This window comes from Homo sapiens, chromosome 11, assembly GCF_000001405.40.
Source record: "Homo sapiens chromosome 11, GRCh38.p14 Primary Assembly".
Taxonomy (NCBI): Eukaryota; Metazoa; Chordata; class Mammalia; order Primates; family Hominidae; genus Homo; species Homo sapiens.
The window spans coordinates 3510379-3522471 of NC_000011.10; the positions used below are offsets into that span (position 1 = coordinate 3510379).

The 12093-nt window shown below is 44.3% G+C and overlaps 2 long non-coding RNA genes across 4 annotated transcripts in view, besides 2 other annotated features; one reads left to right on the forward strand and one right to left on the reverse strand.

Moving 5' to 3' along the window:
- LOC101927708 (uncharacterized) overlaps nucleotides 1-12093 on the reverse strand; it is a 64008-nt gene that overhangs the window by 2399 nt on the left and 49516 nt on the right. The window contains exon 2 of the long non-coding RNA NR_126335.1: nucleotides 4713-4820. This is a non-coding gene — a long non-coding RNA (uncharacterized LOC101927708). The remainder of the gene's footprint in view (nucleotides 1-4712; nucleotides 4821-12093) is intronic.
- On the forward strand, nucleotides 1011-10447 carry LOC107984301 (uncharacterized). 3 transcript variants are annotated; one of them, XR_007062557.1, is made up of 3 exons: nucleotides 1011-1369; nucleotides 1741-1902; nucleotides 5048-10447. It is a non-coding gene; the product is annotated as an uncharacterized LOC107984301 (long non-coding RNA). The 3 variants fall into 3 exon arrangements; XR_007062556.1 differs by having other exon boundaries at nucleotides 1011-1902; XR_001748098.3 differs by having other exon boundaries at nucleotides 1011-1902; nucleotides 10230-10447.
- Nucleotides 1514-2014: an enhancer, noted in NCBI's record as "OCT4-NANOG-H3K4me1 hESC enhancer chr11:3533122-3533622 (GRCh37/hg19 assembly coordinates)". NCBI's record gives its function as "activates a minimal SCP1, AML or CMV promoter by ChIP-STARR-seq in naive H9 embryonic stem cells {active_cell/tissue: H9 hESC(naive)}" and the evidence as "EXISTENCE:reporter gene assay evidence [ECO:0000049][PMID:30033119]".
- Nucleotides 2015-2515: an enhancer, noted in NCBI's record as "OCT4-NANOG-H3K4me1 hESC enhancer chr11:3533623-3534123 (GRCh37/hg19 assembly coordinates)". NCBI's record gives its function as "activates a minimal SCP1, AML or CMV promoter by ChIP-STARR-seq in naive H9 embryonic stem cells {active_cell/tissue: H9 hESC(naive)}" and the evidence as "EXISTENCE:reporter gene assay evidence [ECO:0000049][PMID:30033119]".

The following is a 12093-nucleotide window of genomic DNA, read 5'->3' on the forward strand; positions in this document are numbered from 1 at the left end:
TCTTAATCTTCATGACATGCCATGATACTATTGAGTTGAATTAAGGTCATGGACAGCTATAGTAAGAGGATTACAATTTTTCTAGTACATAATTTAGGATGAGAAGCATGACTTGTGGAAAGAGTTGAAGATCTGGTTGATCTTTTAGAGTAGGTGGCTAAAGTTACACATGTCTAATCAGGGCAGAAAAACTGATAAGTATCTTGACAGCTAGCATCAGGGTGATTTCTAGGACAGAGGTAAAAGCCAATATTTTGGAGTCTTTTTTCTGCACTTTTGGAGCTTCTACACTTAGTTTGGCTCTTGGAGTGTCTGAATCTTGCTGCAAGGTCGACACTTCCTGCTCCTGGGACTGGCAGATGGTGTTGCTTTTCTTGGGTATGGGCTGGCTTTGGGAACAGTACAAATAAATCAAGTGCAAAGGAGACTTCCTTGGAGGTACCGGCCTTCTAAGTGGTGTTTGCAAATACAAGTCCTGTTGTGAAAGAGGTGAGGAGAAAGGAGTAGGAAGGCACAGAGGATGTAACGGGCAAAAACAAATAAGTGAGGTAGTAAAAAGAATGAATCTAATGGCTTCACCTGACTTAGGTGCAGTTTTAAGGGGCCTGACTTAGGCCTGGGGACTTATGTTTTTAGTTGGGCTCTGTTGGCCTTTTTGATGCGGGAGTGATGAATGTAAGCAGGAATTCCGTCTACTTTCAGAGCCATTGGCGTCGTGACGATGACGGTGTGAGGTCTTTTCTAAGCAGGAGTGGGTCTTTCTTTTTGGAACTTTTTAACAAACACTAGGTCTCCTGGCTGGAAGGAATGGCAGGATTTTGGTCAGTAATTGGATTGGGATGGGTTCCTCGAACAAGTGGCAGGATGATATCTTGTACCTGTTGGAGAGACGATAGGTACTGTAACAAATTAGTTTGTGATATTTCTGCTAATTTGGCATCTCTTAGCTTAGGCAAGATAGGTGGCGCCTTCTTATAGATGATTTCAAAAGGTGAGAAATTAGCCTGGTAAGGGATGCACCTTACTTTAAGTAGGGCTAAAGGAAGGAGACTTACTTAATTTACACTGTTTTTTTAAGATTAATTTTGTAGGAGTGTTTTTTAGGGTGTGGTTCATGCGTTCTACTTGTCTGGAGCTCCGGGGTTGATAAGCACAATGGAGCTTCTGTTGAATGTTTAACACCTTACTGACTGACTGACTGAGCTATAGGCGAGGGGAAGGCTGGTCTATTATCAGAGTTTATGGCAGCAGACAGCCTATATTGAGGGATGATTTCATTGGGTAAAAACTTAACTACTGTGTTGGTGGTTTCGTTTTTGGTAGCAAATGCCTTAGTCTATCTGGAGAAGGTGTCTACTAGTACTAGAAGGTATTTGTACTTAGCCTGGTGTGGTTTGACTTCTCTAAACTGAATTTCTTACTTTTTTCTTGGCGAGTTTTTTCAGAGACAGTGGCCTGGGCTGGGTTTAGGACTTTGTTTGGCATTTACTTGGGCGCAGGTTGTGCACTGGAGAGCTGCTTAATCTCTTAGGCTATGAAGATGGGGGATCTTAAAATGCCTCCGGAGGAGCTGAGGTAACTTTGCTCTTCTTAAATGGGTGGTAGACTGTAGGTAACTGGTTTAAGTTCAGGGTATGAAGATTCCAGAGTCAGGAAGAATCTACTAACTTTCCTGATTTTTATTGGCTCTGAGATCTGAAGCCAGTTTTTCTGTTGTTGTTGAGTATACGGGATTGTCAGGCAGATCTGGCTGTGGAAAGGAGACTGTGGGCAGCAAGTTTGGAGGCATGACTGAAAGTCTGGCAGCGACCTGAGCTGCTGAATCAGCTTTCTGGTTACTATGGGCAACGGCCGTGTTTTCTTTTTGATGTCCTTTGCAGTGGATCACAGCTACCTGCTGAGGTGAGTAGCCTGATTTCCTGGTAGATGGCTTTATGTACATGCACAGTAGCTAAGGCGTACTTGCTGTGAGTGTAAATGTTAATACGTTTATCCTACTTTATCGGAGAGCCTGAGTGAGGGTGATCAATTCAGCCTTTTGTGCTGAGGTGTTCGCTGGTAAAGCTTGAGCTTAGAACACATCTGTCTCCGTGGTAACAGCTGCACTGGCTTTTCATACTTCCTGCTTGAGGAAGCTGCTACTGTCTGTGAACACGGCGGCATCTGCCTTTTCTAGGGGCACAGCTTGAAGATCAGATCAGCCAGTTTCGATAGTTTCTAACAGTTCTTGACAGTCATGAGCAGGAATAGTGCAGTCTGGGTCAGGAAGTAGTGTAGCTGGATTGAAACACTTTGTGGGAGAGAAAGTCAAACGAGGCTGATCTAACAGTAAATTTTGATACTGCAAGATGCGAGCATTTGACATCTATTTGCCAGAAGCATTTTGTAGTAAGTTCTTTACGGCATGAGGAGCTGTAAGGGTTAAATTTTGGCTTAGAGTTAACTTATCATCTTCTTGGGCCAGGCTTGCTGTAGCTGCTACGGCTCGCAGACAACTTGGCCATCTACAGGCCACAGGATCTAGCATCTTAGATAAATAGGCCACTGGGCATCTTTAGGGTCTTAAAGTCTGAGTAAGCACGTCTTTAGCAACTCCTTGGCTTTTATGGAGATATTAGAGAGGGCTAAAGCAGGGGCTTCAGTTAATGCTGAATTAACGGGCTATTTCATTCTGTACTTCTTGGAGAGCTGCCACTAAGATTTTTGTTTGTCTTTTGAATGCTTTATCAGCGGCCTTTTCAGCTGCCTGTGTTGCTTTTGTTTTTTAAACTTTTGATTGTCAAAAACTTTTGGGCTATTTCTAAAAGCTGACTGATATTTATTCTAGCAAATCTTTCTAGTTTTTGGAGTTTCTTTTTAATATCCGGGGCTGCCTGAGCCACAAATGCTAAATTAAGAGCACGGCTATTTTCGGGAGCTGCCGGGTCAAAAGGGGTGTAAATCCGATAAAAAGGGGTGTAAATCCGATAAGCCTCCTGGAGGTGCTCTAAAAACCTTCTTGGTGACTTCTCGGGCCTTTGGACAACTTCGGTCGTCTTAGACAAGTTGATGGGTTTCTGAGAGGCTCTTTTAATACTTGCGAGGAGATACCGGTGAGAATCGTCTAAAGCTCCCTTTCTACTTGAGGAATTTGGGTCCTGGTTAGGCCGTGTAGAGGGAAAGACCTCCTCAAGGAGGTCTCTAGCTTCTTCTTCCGGTCCATTGGCTGATGTGAGGAAGTACTTTTTGGCTTCTTTTTGGATACATTCTTTCTTTTCAGAGGTGAAAAGGGTTAAAAGGAGCTGTTGGCAATCATCTTAGGTGGGTGAGTCAGGCCGGAGTACCGACTCTGTCTGAGAGGCCAAAGCCTGGGGCTTTTCAGAGAAGGGAGGATTATGGGTTTTCTAATTATATAAGTCAGAAGTAGAAAAAGGGACATAAACTAAGAAGGGTGCTGAGCGCTCGTCACCTGGAGGGACTTGTGCCTCTCTCAGTGGTAGGAGAGGGGCTACGTCTTCCTGCCACGGTCATGATTGAGAGGCAATGGGTGGCGAGCCTACAGGGGACGTCGTCGAGGAGACATGGGATAACTTTAAGGGAGAAGGTTGGTTGTAAGGCGGTGGGACTGGGTGAGGGAGACTCCCCTCTTCTTCAGAGGGAGGCAGTACAGGGGGAGCTGAACCGGCTGAGGGTCGAGGCGAAAACGCGGTCTGGCTTAGGAGGACCTGGGAGGTAGAATTATGAATGGCGCATGAATGGAGCCACGGAGGGGGGATCCTGACTAAACTTAGCAATTGATCAATGTAGGGAAACTGATCAGGGTGGCTAGGAGTTTCAGTAACAACCTGCCACACAGCTTGAACAATTGTGAGGTTCAATGACCCTTCAGGGGGCCACTTGACTTTAAACTTTGGCCATTTTATTTTGCACAGTGTCTGGAGCCTGCCTTTTTTAAGGCGGACTTTATAATCCTCTGAGGAACTGAGAGGAAAATTCTGCAGCATACATTGGAGAGGGCTTTAACTTTTATAAGGCTGGGAGGAAGTGTTTCTTATTTTTTTTTTTTTTTGAAGGCAATTTAATAAGATTTGAGCATTGATATTAAACTTAGCATGGACAGAGAAACTTATTTCTTGGGGGACTGGAGTAGTGATAGAACAGAATCAACATGACTACAAAGAGCAGAAAAACTTACAACAGCTAATACTACTTGCTACATTGCTGTAGCTTTAAGATCGAGGGAGGAGGACTAGAGCCAGCCTGAGATCTTCTGGGTCAGTTTGATCTAGGCGTTCTTCTTCTTCTAGATCTGCACTTTAAATACTTTTGGTGTCTTTATGACTTAAAGGCAAATAGCTTAAACTTAGTTTTTTCTTTTAAGGGTTTAAGGAGTGAGAGCAGAGCCAAGTCCTGGAGACGCAGAACTTGCTGTCTCACCGGAAAAGGAGATGTGCGGGGTAGGGGGCAGGGACAAGGTGGAAAAGGACTACTCGGATCACTTTTAAGGTGGGAGAGTAGCCACAGAGGAACAGAGTAAGAATCTAAACGAAGTAAAGCAGTACGGGCGTACATTTCTTTACACAGTGTTCTACTTAAGGGCACAGGAAAAGTTACAGAATGACAAAAGAGGTGAGTGAGGAGATCTGCAGGGTGGCTGTTTTGAACTCACTACTGGTTTAGTTTAGAGGACGTCTAATCACTTGGACGTGGAGTATGACGATCTAAATACTTACAACTTTCATGGTGCTAGAAATCGTAATCAGGCAAATGTTTTTCACACTTGTTCTTGTAGCAACACTTGACTTGCTTCTGGCAGAAAAGACAGGACTGTGGTGGCCAGCCTAAATGATTGATGAGAAATTTAACCTCCTGTGACAAAAAATCAGCACTAAGGACTTTGAAGAAGTTTTTACTTAGACGTCTTGGGCAATATCAACGTCTTGACATGAAAACTTTCACAACTACTAACAAGACAATAGACACTGAACAGAACAGTCAACATAAAACAAACAATTGACTTTAGGGCATGTAAACAGTTACGAGAGTTTCTTCCTTTTTTTTTTTTTAGACAGACAAGGGGAGGGGATCCAGCGATGGGATCAGTCAGATGCCTGCCTGGCCGCTCCCCGTGAGGGGACTTGGGCTCCTCTTAGCATTGGCAGGCCGGTATAAACTTCCGGCTCAGATCGAGCTATGCCTGATGCTGCCTTAAGCCTTATGAGGTCGCCATGGAACCGCAGGTGAGGGTCTACTTGAACTCCGTAGCTTTCGCTGTGGAGCTACAAACTGGAGGACAAGCGCAAGCCCTTGTCCTCCCTCATTCATTCATTATTCACAAAGAGTTTATAACAGTTTTTTTTCTTTCTTGGAGATTCTTCAAGAAACTTGAACAAGAGAAAGATGAGAGATAGAAAAAGAGAGAGAGAGAGTGACCGGTCTGCCAGAAACCAGGACTCAGTCCTCCAGCATCCTGGGATGTGGACTGAGTCAAGGGAGGTCCCCTGTCAGGGCTACTTCCCTCCTAGAAAGAGACACAGAAGTGCCTAACAGAAAACCAGGGCTCTACCTTCCAGCGTCCTAGAGAAACGGGCAGAGTCAAAAGAGGGACACCCTCATCAGGGCCGCTTCCCTCTTACAAGAACTGAAGTCAAATCTGACCTACCTGACCTCGGGGTCAGAAGTCGAGGACTCAGAGGTGGAATTTTTATGGGCACCCACACGGTAGTCGATCCGCTCTCCTCTGGAAGACGGTCACCTTTCGGGGACCTGAAAATTTTTTTTTAGGTGACACCCCCCCTACAAGCCGGCCGTCCTTCCGGGGGAGCCCGGAGCGAGCCCGGCTCTCGCCTGGTGGTGTTTCTCACTCGGGCCTCCAAATGTTGTACTTGAGCGAGTTAGAGAAAATGCCACAATTTGACATGAATTAAGTCTGTTTATTTAGCTGGTGGCCAAGAGATGGCTAACTCTTAAAGTTCTCTTGGCCCCGAAGAAGGGGCTAGATTTTCTTTTATACTTCAGTTTAGAAAGGGGAAAGGGGTGTAGTTAAAAGAATTTTACAGAAGTAAAGTAGGCAAAAAAGTTAAAAGGATAAATTGTTACAGGAAAGTAAACAGATCTAGGTCTAAGGGCTTTAAGACTATTACAAAGTGATAGACGTGGGGCTTTAGGCATTATCAATCGGACAAATTCCTGGGAACTGCGGATATTGCTCGCCACAGTATCTTATCAGTTAATTGCACTCTTAGATGTGCTAAGAGTCAGCTTGCACAAGTTAAGTCCTTGAGGAAGGGGCTGCCAGTGAAAAAGCCAAGATAAAGTCTGTCTAGCTCTCTTAGCTAAAAGAAAGTCAATTCAGGTAGAAACAAGGCTAAGGGAATAAAAGAAAAGGAAAGTCTACGAACAAAGTTAATAAAAACAAGGTTAGGCATTACAGATGGGGTCATCCTTATATTCAGCACAGTGTTTGTCCTGAAACTTCAATGGAGTGCTCCTAGTTTGATAACTTGGACCATGCCAAATAAATTGAATTTCTCTTTCTTAACAACAGATGTTTGAATACAGCCCCGTGTCCCTCTCTGCTCCTTCCTGCCTTCCTCCTCTCCTCTTCCTTCCCTCCCTTTTCAAGAGCAGGGTTTGCAAGCTTTTACTTGAAAGCATCAGATAGATAGTAAATATTTTAGACTTCGTGGGCCATACAGTCTCTTGTAGTAGTTACTCAACTCTGTCACCCATAGAATGAAAGCAGCTGATATAGGTTGAATATGTGTCCCCTCCCAAATCTCATGTTGCAATGTAATCCCCAGTGTTAGAGGTGGGGCCTGGTGGGAAGAGATTGGATCACGGGGGTGGATTTCTCATGAATGATTTAGCGTCATCCTTTTGGTCCTGTCCTTGCAACAGTGAGTGAGTTCTTGCAAGATCTGGTTGTTTACGAGTGTGTAGCACCTCCCTCCTTACTCTCTTGCTCCCACTTCAGCTTCTGCCATGATTGTAAGTTTCCTGAGGCCTCCACAGAAGCTCAGTAGATGTCAGTGTCATGCTCCCTGTACAGCCTACAAAACTGTGAGCCAATTAAACCTCTTTTCTTTATACATTACCCAGTCTCAGGTATTTTTTATAGCATGAGAGAACAGCCTAATCCAGCAGCCATAGACAATATGTAGCAAATGGACATGGCTGTGTTTCAATAAAACTTTATTGACAAAAACATGTGCAGGCAGGTCAGATTTGGCCCATGGGCCATAGTGTCCCAACCTCTGCTCTGGAATATTCTCTTTAGCCTGGATGGACATCTCTAGGTTTTTTTTTTTTTTTTTGGTGAGAAAAAGTCTCACTGTTGCCCAGGCTGGAGTGCAGTGTTGCAATCTTTGTTTGCCACAACCTCTGCCTCCTGGGTTCAAGCAATTCTCCTGCCTCAGCCTCCCAAGTAGCTGGGATTACAGGCACCTGCCACCACACCTGGCTAATTTTTGTATTTTTTAATAGGAGATATAGGAGATAATTCTGCGAACAGAAATTCCTGAGAACTGAGATGGGGGAAATCGCTGGTATTAGAAGGGTGAAAAGGTCAGTAATTAAGGCTACGACTGTGCTCTTAGAGGCAAAAGAAGAAAATGAGACTGCCAGGCATGAATAATGAGAAATCTTTGATGGAATTAGCCATGCAGAACAGATACTAAATGCATCCTCATTCTTCTCATAGTCAAAAGTTTTTGCTGAAGCTGGATGGGAAAAAGAGAATCCCATTTGACTAAGTATAAAAGAGGGGATTTTAGAGAAGGTCTCAGAAGAAAGAGATGTGGGGGTTTGGTGAAACTCACCAGAGGCTGAACCCTCTCCAGCATAACACAGGGATTGGGAGGAGCGGGGTGGCATTAGGCCAGGTGCATAGCCCAGTGCTGCTCTCTCTGGACTTTCTGCTCTCTCTGGACTTGTTTGCTAGCTGAGCTCATCCATTTGCATAATTTTCAGTGCCATTTCTCAGCTGATGAGTCCTGAACTTTTGTCTTGAGGCTAGACTTCTCCTTCAAACAGCAGTCTTAAACACTCAACTTCTTTCTTGTTTTTTCCACTTGTCAACTCATGAAAACCTCAACCTTGTTAAATCCAAAGCCAAACTCATGGCTTGGAGTGGTAGGTGATGGCTGTAATGCCAGTGCTATGGGAGGCTGAGGTGGGAGGATTACTTGAGGTCAGGAGTTTGAAGCCAGCTTGGAAAACACAGTGAGACTCCCTAACTATAAAAAAAAAATAAAAAAAAAAAAAAAGATAGGCATGGTGAAGTGCATCTGTAGGATCTGTAGTCCTGTTACATGGCAGGCTGAGGCAGGAGGATCACTTGAGCCCAGGAGTTTGAGGCTGCAAAGAGCTATGATTGCACCAATGCACTCCAGCCTGGGTGACAGAGCCAGAGTCCCTGTCTTAAAAAAAAAACAAAATCAAAACTCTTTTTCCTCCTCCTTCTCCATGGGCTCTGTCCGTGCCATCTCTGTTCTGTAAATGGCTCCACCCCCTGCTGAGCTGCTCAAGGTAGTCATAACTCATGTGCTGTGCTAACTCTACTTTTGCCCTCTTCTCCAGTCAGAAGTCCTCTGATTCTAAACTTTATCCAACTTGTCCACTCTCTCTATCTTCACTGTCATTATCTTTGCCTAGGACACCGCTATCCCAGCTGGGCTACAGCGGCAGCCTCCTAACTGGTCTTAACTGGTCCTCTGCACCTGCTCTCCATGCTCAGCAATCCATTTCCTACCTAGCAGCTTCAGTGATCTTAAGGTGTCCATTGAGTCTCTTTCCTGCCCATGGCACATAGAATAAAATCGAGACCCCGAGTCTTCTGCCTGTTCCTACCATCTCTCCAGCTCTCTCCTATCTCCTCCCCTTGGCCTACTCTATTTCAGCCACTCTGTCCTCCTTTTGTTGTCTTCGACTTTCAAACCTTTCTCCACTACTGGGCCTTTGCATTTGCTGCTTCAGCCTGGAATGATTTTCCTCTGCACCTCCCCAAATTAGACCATCCTTTAGGTCTCAGCTAAAATGGTGCTTCCAGACAGCTCTTTCCTAACCCCTTTATAAAGTGGACTTCCCTGCTCGTCTCCACCTTAACCTCATTATTTCTTGTTGTGGGAACTCAGGGACCCCAAATGGAGGGACTGGCTGGAGCTGTGGCAGAGGAACATAAATTGTGAAGATTTCATGGACATTTATCAGTTCCCAAATAATACTTTTATATTTTCTTATGCCTGTCTTTATTTTAATCTCTTAATCCTGTTATATTCATAACCTGAGGATGTACATCACCTCAGGACCACTGTGATAATTGTGTTAACTGTACAAATTGATTGTAAAACATGTGTGTTTCAACAATATGAAATCAGTGAACCTTGAAAAAGAAGAGAATAACAGCAATTTTTAGGGAACAAGGGAAGACAACCATAAGGTCTGACTTCCTGCAGGGTTGGGCAAAAAGAGCCATATGTTTCTCCTTGCACAGAGTCTATAAATGAACGTGCAAGTAGGACAGATATTGCTAAATTCTTTTCCTAGCAAGGAATATTAATATTAATACCCTGGGAAAGGAATGCATTCCTGGGGGGAGGTCTATAAATGGCCGCTCTGGGAATGTCTGTCTTATTCAGTTGAGATAAGGACAGAGATACGCCCTGGTCTCCTGCAGTACCCAAAGGCTTACTAGGGTGGGGAAAAACTCTGCCCTGGTAAATTTGTGGTCAGACTGGTTCTTTGCTCTCGAACCCTGTTTTCTTTTGTTTAAGATGTTTATTAAGACAATACGTGCACCACTGAACATAGACCCTTATCAGTGGTTCTGCTTTTGCCCTTTGCTTTGTGATCTTTGCTGGACCTTTATCAGTAGTTCTGCTTTTGCCCTTTGTCCTGTTCCCTCAGAAGCATGTGATCTTTCTTAGACCCTTAGTAGTAGTTCTGCTTTTTGCCCTTTGAAGCATGTGATCTTTGTACCTACTCCCTGTTCTTACAGCCCCTCCCCTTTTGAAACCCTTAATAAAAACTTGCTGGTCTGAGACTCAGCAGGCAGCACAGACTTACTGATATGTAATGTCACTCCCAGCGGCCCAGCTGTAAAATTCCTCTCTTTGCAGTGTCTCTCTTTATTTCTCGGCTGGTTGACACTTATGGAAAATAGAAAGAACCTACGTTGAAATATTGGGGGCAGGTTCCATCAATACTTCTTTCATGGATTTACTTATTTTTTGTCTCCCTCCTTACCCTAGAAACTCCTGGAGGGCAGAGCTGTGTCTGCCATCTTCATCATTGCATTACCACCACCCAGCACAGTGCCTGGCACAAAAGAGTTGCTCAATAAATAAATCAGGATGAATGGATAAATACATGGATAGGCACTTTGAACTACAGATGAGTTTAAATACTTTGTGTTTTTCTTAGTCAAACATGTGCAATTAAGCATGTGATAAATGATATGATGACCGCACCTGTGTCTTGCCTGATGTTCTTTGCAATCACTAAATGAAGTCAATTGTGCCTGTTTTGACAGTTCTGTTTTCAATCTAATGATCTGTTTCTTTTAACTTCTGGCTGTTGGCTTTGTTTGGGTTTGTTAGCCTGACAAACTGGCAGATATTGGTATTTGCTCTTTTGTTTAAATGTCATGAACTTTAAAAATGCCTTTGCTTTTGGTAAGAAACCCTACTTGGGACAGTCTAGCAGTCAGGATGATTTGGGTTCTGGTGCAGTAACAACAATCCCCAAATCTCAGTGGATCCATGCAGTGGGGTATTTTTTGTTTGTTTGTTTGTTTGTTTTTTGAGAGAGGGTCTCACTCTGTCACCCAGACTAGAGTGCAATGGTGCAACTTCAGCTCACTGCAACCTCTGCCTCCCAGACTCAAGTGATTCTCCTGCCTCCTGAGTAGCTGGGATTACAGGCCCATGCCACTACTGTCTCACTAATTTTTGTACTTTAGTAGAGACAGGATGTCACCATGTTAGCCAGGCTGGTCTTGAACTCCTGACCTCAAATGATCCACCTGCCTTGGCCTCCCAAAGTGCTGGGATGACAGGCATGAGCCACCATGCCTGGCCACAGTGAGGCTTATTCTTGGTCACGTTGCATGTCTGGGCTGTGTTAGTGCATTGTGGGGTGGTCTGTTCATTGTGTTCACTCAGGGATCCAGGCTGACAGAAGCCCCATCTCTGCATGTGTCCTTGATCACCACTTCAGGGGAAAGGGAATGTGGTGGATCACACAGCCTCTTAACACTTCCACCTGGAGGTGACTCAAGTTGCTCTTGCTCATGGTTCATTGGACAAAACAGATCACAGAGACATGGGCAACTTCTCTGTGCCTGGAAGGGGAATCAAAATATGAATAGCTACGTTGATTTTCCCTAGCTATTACACAGAACGCCTCATTTAAACACAGTTACTTATTTGTGTTTTGAAGCTAATTGTTGTCCATCAAACTTCACAGAAGGTATGTGCACTTCCAAGTTATTATTAAGCACAATTTTTTTTTTTTTTTTTGAGACAGAGTCTCACTCTCTTGCCCAGGCTGGAGTGCAGTGGCATGATCATGGATCACTGCAACTTATGCCTCCTGGGTTCAAGTGATTTTCGTGCCTCAGCCTCCCAAAGTGCTGTGACTACAGACACCCACCACTGCGCCTGGCTAAGTTTTGTATTTTTTATAGAGATGGGGTTTCACCATGTTGGCCTGGCTGGACTGGAACTCCTGACCTCAGGTGACCCACCTGCCTCGGCCTCCCAAAGTGCTGAGATGACAGGCGTGAGCTGCCACGCCCATCCTTGAGTATGATTTTTGATTGGGAAGGTCAGAGTTAGGGTTTTAGTCTGAGGACTGTATGATGTGAAGGTGAAAAGCAGAGCTTGGCTGTAAGTTTGCTGGGATTCCTGTGCTGCTTCTACAGCTCTTTCGCTGTGTGACCATCACCTTTGGCAAGTTTATGTTTCTATGTGTTGGTTTCCTCATCAATAAAACAGAAAAACTAATCATAATCATAATATCTATTGGTGCTGGGATAGCCCAGTGGTTGACACATAAGGACTCAAAAATATATATTTTTTTTGAAACAGAGTCTTGCTCTCTTGCCAGGCTGGA